The sequence below is a fragment of the Homo sapiens genome, chromosome 3 (assembly GCF_000001405.40).
Source record: "Homo sapiens chromosome 3, GRCh38.p14 Primary Assembly".
NCBI lineage: Eukaryota > Metazoa > Chordata > Mammalia > Primates > Hominidae > Homo > Homo sapiens.
The window spans coordinates 133,270,072-133,282,217 of NC_000003.12; the positions used below are offsets into that span (position 1 = coordinate 133,270,072).

The window sequence follows — 12,146 nt, forward strand, 5'->3', positions numbered from 1 at the left end:
CATTTCTCAGAGGTTTGCCTTAGAAAACATTCTCTGAGATTCCAGAAAATAAGATATTAGAGATTTTGCAGTTCTCCCCTCCCCCAATCAAAGTCCTCCTTTCCTTACTCGGCTCTATTTCATCCCACAATACTGGTCACCTTCTAAACTACAGTATAGGTTATTATTATCTTTACCCTCTGCCTCCCACCACTAGAATGCAAGCTGAGGACAAGTATTTTAGTCTTTTGTGTTTGCTGCTGTATTTCCAGCACCTAGAAAGTACCTGGCACATAGTAGGCACTCGATAAATGTTATTTGAATAAATTTAAGATTCTAAAGGACCTTGAAACCTGTTTAGTATCTTTATTTGGAGATAAACCAATTAAAACCCTGAGAGTTTGTGACGTTCCCTAGGTTGCATAGCTGATCTGCAGAGGCAAGTCTAAAAGGTGAATCCAGATCTTTCTCCTAACCCTGTGTCCTTCCTACCACCTGCTGCTGCTTTTGGCTGCTGGATGGAGCTGGGAAGAAGACTGGAGGCTACTGGTCCTAATCCATAGAAGGGATTTTCTGAGTCCTGCCCAGAAGTAGGCAGGTATCATGAGCATCTTCTGCCCTCAAGAGGATCTTGGCAGTCAAATATGGCTGCAGCCTGGCTCCATTCCTTGGTCATAATCTCCAACTTCTGCTGCCAGGATTTTCTCCCTGTTTTTTTTATAAGACTGCCTGTTCGAAGAATGTACACACACACACACACACACACACACTCACACACTCACACACACACACACCCCTACCCCTCCAGGCTCACTAAAGCAACATACAGCTCTGTCAGGAAAAGGATCATAATCTCAGCCCTCACTCACTCTGGTGCAGCTTGGGCAGAGGGATTGCTAATGAAATTATTGAAGTTCCAAAGCCCCCAAGCCATCCTCTTGACACAACCACTGTTTTGGCACTACCTTCTGTTATTCTTTGGTTTTTGCTACTCCTAGTTACCTCAAATGAACACGCTACCCTGCTTTCAATCCACAAACTCTACCCCAACATCTGGCCAATCTTGCCATGCCCTTCCCCCAACACCATGCCCTCCTCACCATCCCCAAGGGGCCAAAATGGACAATTGTAGAGACCAGGCAAGACTCAGCTCACTGGTTGAGAGAGGAGGTCAAGAGTTCTGCTGTAGAACGGAAAGAGTTGGGAAACAGGAGGAGGACCAGAGAATAGGCAGTGCTTGAAAACCCTGTGGAGGCAAATTGTCTGCGGAGTTGGAAACAACCACAACACATTTGTCCTTAGAAAAATATTAATTTTTTAACCTTTTCAATACTATGTTCAAAACCTCTCTCACAAGGTCCACAAACTTTCCTACTACAAGGCTGTCATTTTTGACTAGGAAAATTTGAATTCAGTATTTCAAAAGTGATTTCTTGGAAATAATTTCTTATGTGGTGTCAAGTCTCTGGAGAAAAATGCAGAAGGTCTTTCTGCCCATTAGATGCTGTTCACGAGAGAGAAATAGCAGGAATTAACAGTATGGTGGCTTCACACGATTGCCCAGATAGTGTGTGAGTTCAGGAAGTGTCTTGTTTGCAGGGAGAGAGTGATTAACACAACAGACGCTGCTCTGACTCTCCTATAGGAGTCAGAGGAGACAAAGCTTGGAGCCTACATTTACAAACTGTCATGAGCCAGCCCCACCTAGAAGCACGCTAAGCTTGTTTTAGTCATCTCATTTCTCTCTAGCCCATGGGCCAACCTTATTCCTGCTTTTTTGCATTTATCTGGGTCTCTACTATGTTTCAGCCTCTGTGCTGGGCTTGTATCAACAAGGCAAAGAGAAATTTTACATGATCTCTGTGTTCAAAGACCTCATGTACTTGATACAGAGGTAAATAGATTAGCAAATAACAGCTATTGACAAAATTAATGAATCAATAAAAATGCATTTAAATTATGTTTTGAGCGCTTAACTCTGCTGTAGGAGCTAAAGGAGGCCTCTTAGAGGAGTTAACAGCTGAGCTTTGTGCCTCACAGTTTCCTTAAGGCTGTGCAGATTCTTGGATTCTCGTCAATAAGGCCAAATAGGATATTCCCTCCCATAAGACTTTTTCTCTTAGGCATCTCATTTGTGTCATCTAACACTTAGGGTAATGGGGCGGAGGGGTATGTGGAGTATCTTGCTCTGACTCAGCCTTATAAGAACACCATACACGTACGTGTGTGTGTGTGTGTGTGTGTGTGTGTGTGTGTGTGTGTTTCCTAAAGGAGGACTTATTTTAATATCTGAGAATAGACTTCTAGGAACTTCCTTGATGTACAGAAATCTCATAGACCCTATGGTCATTACTGCAAAGAATCATCCCATTTTAGAGCTGGCATTTACCTTCTAAATCAACTCATCCTTTTTACAGTTGATGGAGGTTAAAGCCAGGGATGCTAAAGGACTGCCCAAAGTCACGCAGCTAACCACGGGCAGAGCCAAGTCTAGGACCAAGGCCTCAGTTCTATGCAATTTTTATGGTACCTTGCAGGTCCCCCCAAGGGGCACACATCTGTCAGCATAGTGGGATGACTAGGAGCAAGCATTACACTAGGGGCAGGGGTTAGGAGTGATGTATGAGATACTACTGAATCATAGAGCTGGAAGGGCCACTAGAGGTCATCTCGCTTACCTCCTGCATTTTTCTGATGAAGAAAGAGAAGATGGGGAAAGTGAACCTGATCTTCTCAGCCAGGGGAGGTATTGCCCTCTAAGAGGGATATGGAAATGTATGGGACCATTTTTGGCTGTCACAATGACTGGGAAATGATATTGGCACTTAATGGGCAGATGCCAGGGATGCTTAACATATATTGAGTGGAACAGTTCTACCAATGACAAATCACCCAGCCCCAGATGTCAACAGCGTCCGCATTGATAACCATGAAAAGAGCCCCCATTACAGACAGAGAAGGGACCAGGCTCTGAGGTGGTTTGCCCAGTAGTTTGTCATTGTGTGTACATTTAGGGGTGGGTCACAAACCCCTCTGAGAATCAAATAAAAACTTCCTTTTCATAGAAACCTACACATACACAAGAACTTTGCCCTTAATTTTAGTGGGTTAATGAGCCCCTTTAACCCATCAATGAACCACAGGTAAATAACCCTAGTCTTAAAAGAGACTTAAAGGTGGAGAAAATTAAATATGTATGTGTTTTCTTATGGATAAAAATTGTCTTATGATGTGTCCAATGGAATGAAGAGTAAATGTGGGTTTTTTCCCTACCAAGTGAACACAGTGGTATCCAGACTCTTAGATTCTTTCTTTTGTTCATTCATCAGAAGCCTTGGATTTTTATCCATCACTTAAGAAGTATAGCTATTATTTCCTATTGATAGTCAAACTAAACACCACGTCTACCTCCCACACCTTCCTTCCCTTTCTCTCCCCACAGTAAGTACTCAGCAGGACTGACGTAGGAAGCAGGAGTGGGTGCTGACTTCAAAGGGTCCCTCTCCCTGAACTTTGGAGAGTCCCTTCTTCAGGAGTGTGAGTTCTGGGTGAGTGGTGGAAGAACTGCAGGCTTTAAATGCTAGTCAAGGTGTAAATCAGATACTGTGTTTTAAAATGTGCTGAGTAATTTCTGACTCATTAAATCAGTTAAATTACAAAATGCTCCATTTCAAGATGCTCTATTTCATCCATTTGCAACAAGTCATGGCAAACGGAAGAAATAGATTAGCCAATCATGCCTCCATGGTGTTGTTGAAGAGAATAGAGGAGAGGAGAGATGGACGACTCACTACCACTCTGTGAGAGAAGACTTAGGGTCAGGCGTAACAGTCAGACCAAGCAGTCTTATAGGATAGATATTCTTCAAGGGTTTTACATCTCATTTACTCCTGACAGCAATCCTTCGGGGCTTATTTTCTTGTCTATTTTACTAATGAAGAAACTGTGGCTGAGAGAGGTTAAGTACTTTTTCAGTTGAGTCAAAATTCACACCCAGTCCTATGTGACTCCTAGGCCAAGTTCTTTTCACCCCAATGCTTCCCAGCGAGTTTGTATGAACACAGGTAATGCTGCTCTCAAACAGCTAAAATTATCTGCACAGCGGATGCATGCCCCACTGCCTTCCCATCTACAAGATCCATCTCAGATTGTTCTTGGTTATTCCAGTATGCTGAGGACAAGCCTTCTGACTTTGGTTTCATTTTGTTTTGTTTTTCATAAACTGTGCTTCTGTCGAGGCTGTAGAGAATCCTGTTAGGACAGTATGTCGTGATTTAAACTGTGGCTGATGAGTGACTCCCTTCTTTCCTTCTCTTGCCTCAAACCTTTCCTTTCTCTTATGATGGGAGAGACCAAGTGTACTTCTGCATGCACAGTGCCTGGAGGTCTTCCCAAGCCTGGCTTGGAGGTATCAAAAAGGAATCTGTACCTAACTTTCACAGAATGGTTTCCACTTAGCTGGGGGCTTTGTTTTGTCCCCCAAAGTAGCTGGTGACTTTGTTTTGTCCCCCAAAGTGTTTCATTCTTTTTCCCTTGTAGATTTGTTTCTCTGTGAATTTATCTAAAGACAGTGGTGTGCTGTTGGGCAAGAAGTCCTTTCCTACTGCCTCCTGTAGGAGAGCTGTAGTTACTGCTGAACAAATGACAACCTGCCCACTGCAATAATAACAACCATTTCCCTGGGTGACAAGTATCTAATTAAGTGAATGCCTTGGGTCAAGGGGTCATATTTCTGCAGGCAGTGGACCTTTGTACCATTTGCCAGTCAGGGGGTTAGACACATTCCCTACCCTCCCTGCTGGGTGTGAGTTTCTACACCTGAGCCATTGCCAGCAGAGCTGATGAAGGAACTTACCTCAGAGTCTCTAAATGAAGTCCACTGCTCTTAGATCTGCTAAGAAATATCTCAAAACCATTGGTTCCAAGTTGATTGATTGATTTTCCTATTTCCATCAGCAAAAACCATAAATACTCAATTAAACTCTAAAAGTGGTCTTAGAATTCCAACACCAAGTATAGAGGACTTAATTATTTTAATGGGGGAGGGGAAAGAGCGCTAGATCAGGAGTCAGAAGACTAAAGGTTTAGCTCTGACTCTACAACTAACTGCCCACATGACCCCAGTAACTTTCTTATCTAGTTTCCCCAATTGAAAATGGGAGTTTTTTCCTTAGATACTCTTTAAAAGCAGTACTGTCCACTAGAAATATAATAGGAATCACATATGTAATTCTTAATTTTCTGAATTTTAGCAACATTAAAAATAAAAAGCAAGTAAAATTGATTTTAATAATATATTTTATTTAACCAGTATATGCAAAATATTATTTTAACATGTAATTGGATTTTTCACATACATTTTCCATATTAAGTTTTTGAAATTCAATGTGTATTTTACACTTACATTGCATTTAAGTTCAGACTAGACACATTTCAAAGGTTCAGTTTGGCCACATGTGGCTGATGGCTACTGTATTGGATAATGCAGCCTGGACTCTTTTCTGGCTATTAATTTTTTTGTGTATGTCCCAATCCGTTACTTGCAACTCTTGAGGTTAGATGGATAATTTAGAATTTTTTATGTTTTAAAATGAAATACAGTATTTATTATTTATTAATACCCCAGGGGGATCTGGAGCAGCACTCCATGATCAAACAAATAAATATTTCTGTAGCAAAAAGTATGACAATACACACTGAGATAAAGAAAGACAATAAATAGCTTTATATAGGTTGGGTATTGCTGCCAAGTGAGTAACAGGAAAAAAAAACTTTCATTTTTCAGAGGATTTGCCTTTTGAAATTGCAGATAAAGGATTGTGAGTCTGTATCACAAAAACTGTTCAGTATTAGGTTCAGTATTTGCTTAGTTGCTTTATTTGTCAAAAATTGGCCTAGCATTACTATGACAGTGCAGTTGTCCTTTGACTAGCCATGGACGTGGCATTCTGGTTAAATCATCTCCCTTGTTTTGACTCTTAGTAGTGGTAATTGTCTCCAGCAAGCTGAAAGGGTGACCCGTGGAGCCATGGAGACTTAGGATTGCTAGATTAAATATAGGATGCCCAGGTAAATTTGAAATTAAGATAAATAGCAAACACATTTTAAGTGTAAACATGTCCCATACAATATTTGAATTTCATATAAAATTCAAATTTTACTGGGTGTCCTGCATTTTGTTTTAACTCTGGCACCTCTACCATGTTAAAAGCCATTTCAGCAAGTGGTTACTGATTCTTGTGGGGCCAGCCAAGGGAGTGTAAGGGAAGACTTTCTCATCTTGTATCACGTTTGCTCAGAAAGACCATATAAAGCAGGCTGGATGGTTAAGGAGAATGGAAATCTGGTTGTTTTGATTCTAGAATCCAAAAAATTAGGAATGACAAAGAATTCAGCTACAGGTATGGCATTTGCAATCCTGATGTGGGCCTTGATCATGGCAGAAGGCTAATCTAACAGGTGTTCTTAATTGACTGTCTTAAAGCCCTTAAGAATCTTGTCAGGTCATAGCCACATACCAATTATGTAGCCCCTGATTTGGGGGTTTCTTAATCTCTATCAAGGATTCCAGAAAGAAAACCGAAGAGAGTAAACTAGGAACTATCTCTATTTTTTTAAATATGGGGTGGGAAGTGGTGGGCGTTTGTTGAGAGCATAACTCTTTCTCTAAATGCCTCAGAAATTAAGAGGTGCCAAGAGGAAGTGCTGCTTTAAGAACCATCTGGCTCACCCAGGTGCAGGGCTGGGGAGGCTCAGAGCCTGCATCAAAAGTGGCTTCGGCTTCTGTAAACAGCGTCATTCCCAGCATTCCTTGCCAAGATGGGGCTTTATGTGTCCCAGAGAGAGTCAGCAGAAGCAGGTGGCAAATTTGACAGACTATGGAGAGGATGACATGATATCTGTTCATTCAGTGGGGTACACTCAGGGTCCCTCAAACTTTAGTGCCACCCTTTCTAATGACGTGTGAGGTGCTGGATCAAGAGCAGTGACCTGACTGAAACTGTTTCAGATCAAAGGAGACTAAAAGGACATGACAAGCAAATGCAGTATGTGTTCTTAGATCGAACTCTGGACCAGAAAAAAAAAAAGTTCCTATAAAGGACATTATTGAGACAATTGGTAAAATTTGAATATAGGTCATTTATTAGACAGTAGTTTTGTAATTGTTAAAGTTTCTGATCATAATTGTACCGTGGTTATGTAAGAGAATGCCTTTGTTCCTAGTTTTTAAGGGTAAAAGATTTCTTTATAGTTTCAAATGGCTCAGAAAAAAAAATACAGTCATGCATATCCACTTTAAAATGTGGCAAAAAGTTACGTATTAGTAAATCTCTGTAAAGAGTACAAAAGTTTATTATACTATTCTTGTAACTTTTCTATAAACTGTTTAAATAAAAGATAAAAGAATAACAGCATGACACCATCCAAAGATAGATGTTCCAAAGGGATAGCCATGGGAGAGGTGAGGATCCCTGACTCCCTGAATCAGGAGCTGCCCAAATTAGAACTTCACTGACTTTCAGTTTCAGGATTTGGTGTAGTGGTAAGAGCCCAGGCACCAGACTCAGTCAGCCCTGGCATTCCGCCGGGCACCGCATTGTTCTATTTAACCTTGCTGAGCCTTAGTTTCCTAATCTGTAAAATGGGGCACTGTAACTTACCTCACAGCCTTTCTGCTGAGATTGGAGGTGATGTTTGCAAGGCACCTTGCTGAGTGCCATGCAACAGATATTTCCCCAAAATTAAATATGTCTTTGTTTCCATAGAAAGACCATGACTTGATGGCTCCAGAGTCTTGTATTTTCATCAGGTGCAAGGAGCAGCAATCTGTCACCAAATCTGTGGACCAGAGACTCAGGCTCTGCCCCATTTGAAACATTCTTATTGCAAACCCCAGTGGAAAGCCTATTCAGCTGGCAACTTCAAGCAGTATTTCCAAGCATGATTCATTTCCTAGTGGCATAATCACTTTGAACAAAACTACGGCAAGCCTTTTCAAGAATGCTTTTGAAAATCTTTTCTTCCACAGCTGCCACACGGCATGAGAAGCAAGGTCAGGTTATAGGCTTAAAAGTTTTGAAAAGGATGGAATTAACTCTGGACTTTAACCTTCAGACAAATGACCTCACAAGACATGGGAAGTAAAAGTAAAGAGAAAAAAATGTCTGGAGCTGTGAGTGAATAGCAATGATGCTGAACTAGAAATCAAAAGACTTGAATTAGAATGCTGGCTCTGCCACTTAGTAGCTGGTGATTTTAAAGCAGTCCATTCCAAGCCTATTGCTTTATTTGTAAAATGGGGACACTGGTGTTCCATATAGTTGGTGGATTAATCAAGTGAGATAAAGTACAGTGCTGCATTGCTTCACAACAGGATATGTTCTGAGAAATGTGTGTAGGTGATTTCATCATGCTAACACCATTATGTGAACATTGTAGAGTGTATTTACACAGACCTAAATGGTACAGTATACTACACACCTACGCTCTATGGAATAGCCTATTGCTCCTAGGCTACAAACCTGTACGGCATGTTACTGTACTGAATACTATAGGCAATTATAACACAATGGTAAATATTTGTATGTCTAAACATATCTAAACATAGAAAAGGTACGATGAAAATCCAATATTATAATCTTATGTTACCACCATCATATATCAGTCCTTCACTGACCAAAATGTCCTTATGTGGCACGTGACTATACATGGAGACAATTGGTAAACTGTAAGGGGCTATGTAATGTACAGCCTAGCTACCCAGTGTAGTTCAGCATTGACATCACCAGGGATAAAACGAATAATGCAGACTCTCAGGCCCCACCCAGACCTAATGAATTAGAATTTACATTTTAACAACATGTAAATTGTCCGGAGCATTCATGAAAAGTTTGAGGACATACATGAAAGTTTGAGGAGCTCTGAGGTAAAACACCACCCTTGAGTTGATTCTTGAGGTGGCGCCTTTAAAGAGGCCTAAGGGGGCTTACTTAAAACCAGGCCCTTCAAGGCCTAGTGTTTTGCCTATTCAGACTATCGAGTGTATCTTGTGAGGGTTGGGCAAACCAGCCTAGTCTGTAGTGGATGTTAAAACACCCTGTGTCAAAGTAAGCACTTGCACTTAGACACAACTTCTGCCTCAGCACAGGTCTACGTGCATGGACGAAATCCTCTGTTCTACCTCCCCATCATCACTGTGGTGTACGACAATCAGCTATGAGTTTTGAGACACCTGTTACTCCCAAGTCCTGCTTTCTGTCTGGGTCTGGAGACCACCATGTCTATCATGAGACCATCCTAGTTTTGATGAGAAAGGAATGTAAAGACATAACCCAAGGTCACTTGCAAGTAAGAATTAGGACAGCCTGTCCGGTCTCCCTTTGCTGCCGGAAGTGGCAGATAGTAATGACCCTAAATGACCCTGCTCACCCTTGGGTAGGTTAAAGGAAAATATTCTGGGGCCTCTCGTAACTCCACAGTTTCTTGAATTTGCTCTACTTCGGGCCATCCCTTGGTTGGCTAAGGCAGACCCCTCAAAGGCAGGAATTGAGGGGACTTTATCTTCATTCCCAGCAGCCATGTACCACACTCAGTGCCTGGACATGGTAGATGGCTGCCTAATGAATGAATCTGATGAAGACTCCAGCACAGCACTTTATAGATATTAGGTGCTCAGTAAATGCCTGTTGTTTGATTAACTAGGTCAGGGTAACTTTCCTGTTAAGCACTTACAGGCACAAAGCCCAGAATAGAATCTATGAGCTTGTCAGGGCCTATGAAAATGTTTCAGACCTGAACATTAACAACAGAATGACTCCAGGATACAAAAAGGAAACTGCAAAGTAGATACTAAAATGTGTAATTAGCTGGATGTAAAATATAATATTATGCCAACTAGTCAAGTGCAAGTTGCCCCTTAAGAGTTCTGTGTAGATTATATTAAATTTTGAGATGTGGGCACATTTTAATATGTTAAATGTGGCATGAAGGAAGCCCCAAAAGTTAGTGTCTAGAGCTTAAGAAGGATTTAAAAGATCCCCAGTCAGAGGAGTCAGGTGAGGTGGTGTTTCTTCTCCCCTGCTGAGGAGTCTGAAGCAGGGCAGACGAGATGCTGCCTATCTGAGATAGACTCCAAGACAGAGGGAAAGAAACAGTGCAGCAAAAATCAGGAAAGTCAACATGTAGGAAAAATTACACGGTTTTCACCCTGTCCCCAGATGATTTTCCCCAATATATATTTTGTATGGTTTTGTGTAAAGAGAAAATTTTCTGCTTCTTGTCTTACTACCCTAGCATTGATTAATGGCATGCTCTATATCCTGTGCATTTCTATTTATTTCCTTAATCACAGGCGGTAGATGTTGGGGTGGGCTGAGTGTAGGGGGAAAGTGAAAATCAAATGTTCATCAGTTTTTCCCATTTTCCCATTCCCTTCAAGAAAATTTTTATTCTAAATTTTCATTACTCATGTAGATAATGTACAGAACTAAGTAGGAAACGTAATCCATTTGCTCTGTGAGGCCCGATTTAATTAACATTCCTGTGGACACAAATAAAGGGATCTATATCAGTTAGCTTTTCCTACATAACAATGCCCCCAAAAACTTAGTGGCTTAAAACAACCATCATTTATTTGGCTTACAGTTCTACAAGCCAGCAACCTGGACCAGATTCAGCAAGGTAGTCCTTCTGGTTTTGACTAGGTTCACTCATGCCTCTGTGCTCAGCTGCCAAGTGAATTGCAGGGATGGCTGGTCTCAGATGACCTCATTTGAGACTACTTAACTTTATCCACATGGTTTCACATGGTACAGCAGGCTAGCTCAAACTTATTCACGTGGAGGCTGAACAGGTGTCCCAGAGAATAAAGATGGAAATATATGAGACTTCTTGAGGTCCAACCTTAAAGCTTTCACACTGTCACTTCTACCATATTCTGTTGACCAAAGCAAGTCACAAGGCAAGCCTATATTCAAGGAATGGGAAAATAAACTTCACCTCTTGATGGGAAAGAATTTCAGAGTCACATTGTAAGGGGCATAAATACTATGAAGGGAAGAACTGCAGTCCTTTTTGCAGTCTACCAGAGTCAAACACAACGAAGGAAATACAGTCTTGAATGAAATGAGTAAATAATGTTTAAACTGCAGGGCAAAAAAAGAGAGGATGGGAATCAGAGGGTTCCCATGTTTAAATATAGTCAGATCAAAGCGGGAAAATGAGAGCCAGGGCCTGGTCATTCTGTTGGAGTTTCTAAATTTGGTTTTGATGGGAAAATAAATAACCACTTTAGAAAAAATAGGGTGTGCACACACAGGTGTGTGTATGTGGTTTCACCAAAAAACCAGGCTTCAAGAGTATGCAGAGTTATAACGTCAGATAAAAGTTAACCTTTGTGGTAGACACCATACACAGCTAAGTACAATTATAGCTGTTAAGCATCTTTTTCTTTGCATTGTAACCAAGGACAGCGTAGTTTAGTTTAAACAAAAACTGTTACGTCACGTGGCTAAAAAAGTGATGAGCAGAGGTGGTACTTTGAGGCAGAAGTACAACGGCAGCTGGCACACTGGGTGGTGATAATGAGGCATGCTACAGTGAGCAGCGGAGGGCTGGTTCAGGGTAGCATTTCTCCTGGTCTTGCCTCTGCTGCTAAGCAGCTCTGTGACATTGCCCAAGTCACTTTCCCTCTCTGGGCTTTGGTTACCTTCTCTACTGCGTAAGAGGGTGGGTTTGATCATCCCTATGACTCCTTCTACTAGTAAGACTAAATCGGTTGAATATCCCAGCACATGATGGCTTATCCCAAAAGATAGACAAGGACAGGCTGGGCTTGGTGGCTCAAGCCTGTAATCCCAGCACTTTGGGAGGCCAAGGTGGGCGGATCATGAGGTCAGGAGATCGAGACCATCCTGGCTAACACGGTGAAACTCCGTCTCTACTAAAAATACAAAAAATTAGCTGGGCATGGTGGCAGGCACCTGTAGTCCCAGCTACTCGGGAGGCTGAGGCAGGAGAATGGTGTGAACCTGGGAGGCGGAGCTTGCAGTGAGCCGAGATCACACCACTGTACTCCAGCCTGGGCGACAGAGCGAGACTCCGTCTCAAAAAAAAATAAATAAAATAAAATAAGACAAAGACAAAAGAGTATTTTTAGAAAAATTTTG

At 41.5% G+C, this 12,146-nt stretch overlaps 1 protein-coding gene across 3 annotated transcripts in view, besides 1 other annotated feature; it reads left to right on the forward strand.

Annotated features, from left to right (window-relative positions):
• The window catches only part of TMEM108 (transmembrane protein 108), a 359,385-nt gene that overhangs the window by 231,681 nt on the left and 115,558 nt on the right, over positions 1–12,146 (forward strand). The window lies entirely within an intron of this gene.
• Positions 7,309–8,508: an enhancer, noted in NCBI's record as "BRD4-independent group 4 enhancer chr3:132996224-132997423 (GRCh37/hg19 assembly coordinates)". NCBI's record gives its function as "activates an origin of replication core promoter dependent on BRD2, P300/CBP, MED14 and CDK7 cofactors, and independent of BRD4, by STARR-seq in HCT116 cells {active_cell/tissue: HCT116}" and the evidence as "EXISTENCE:reporter gene assay evidence [ECO:0000049][PMID:35650434]".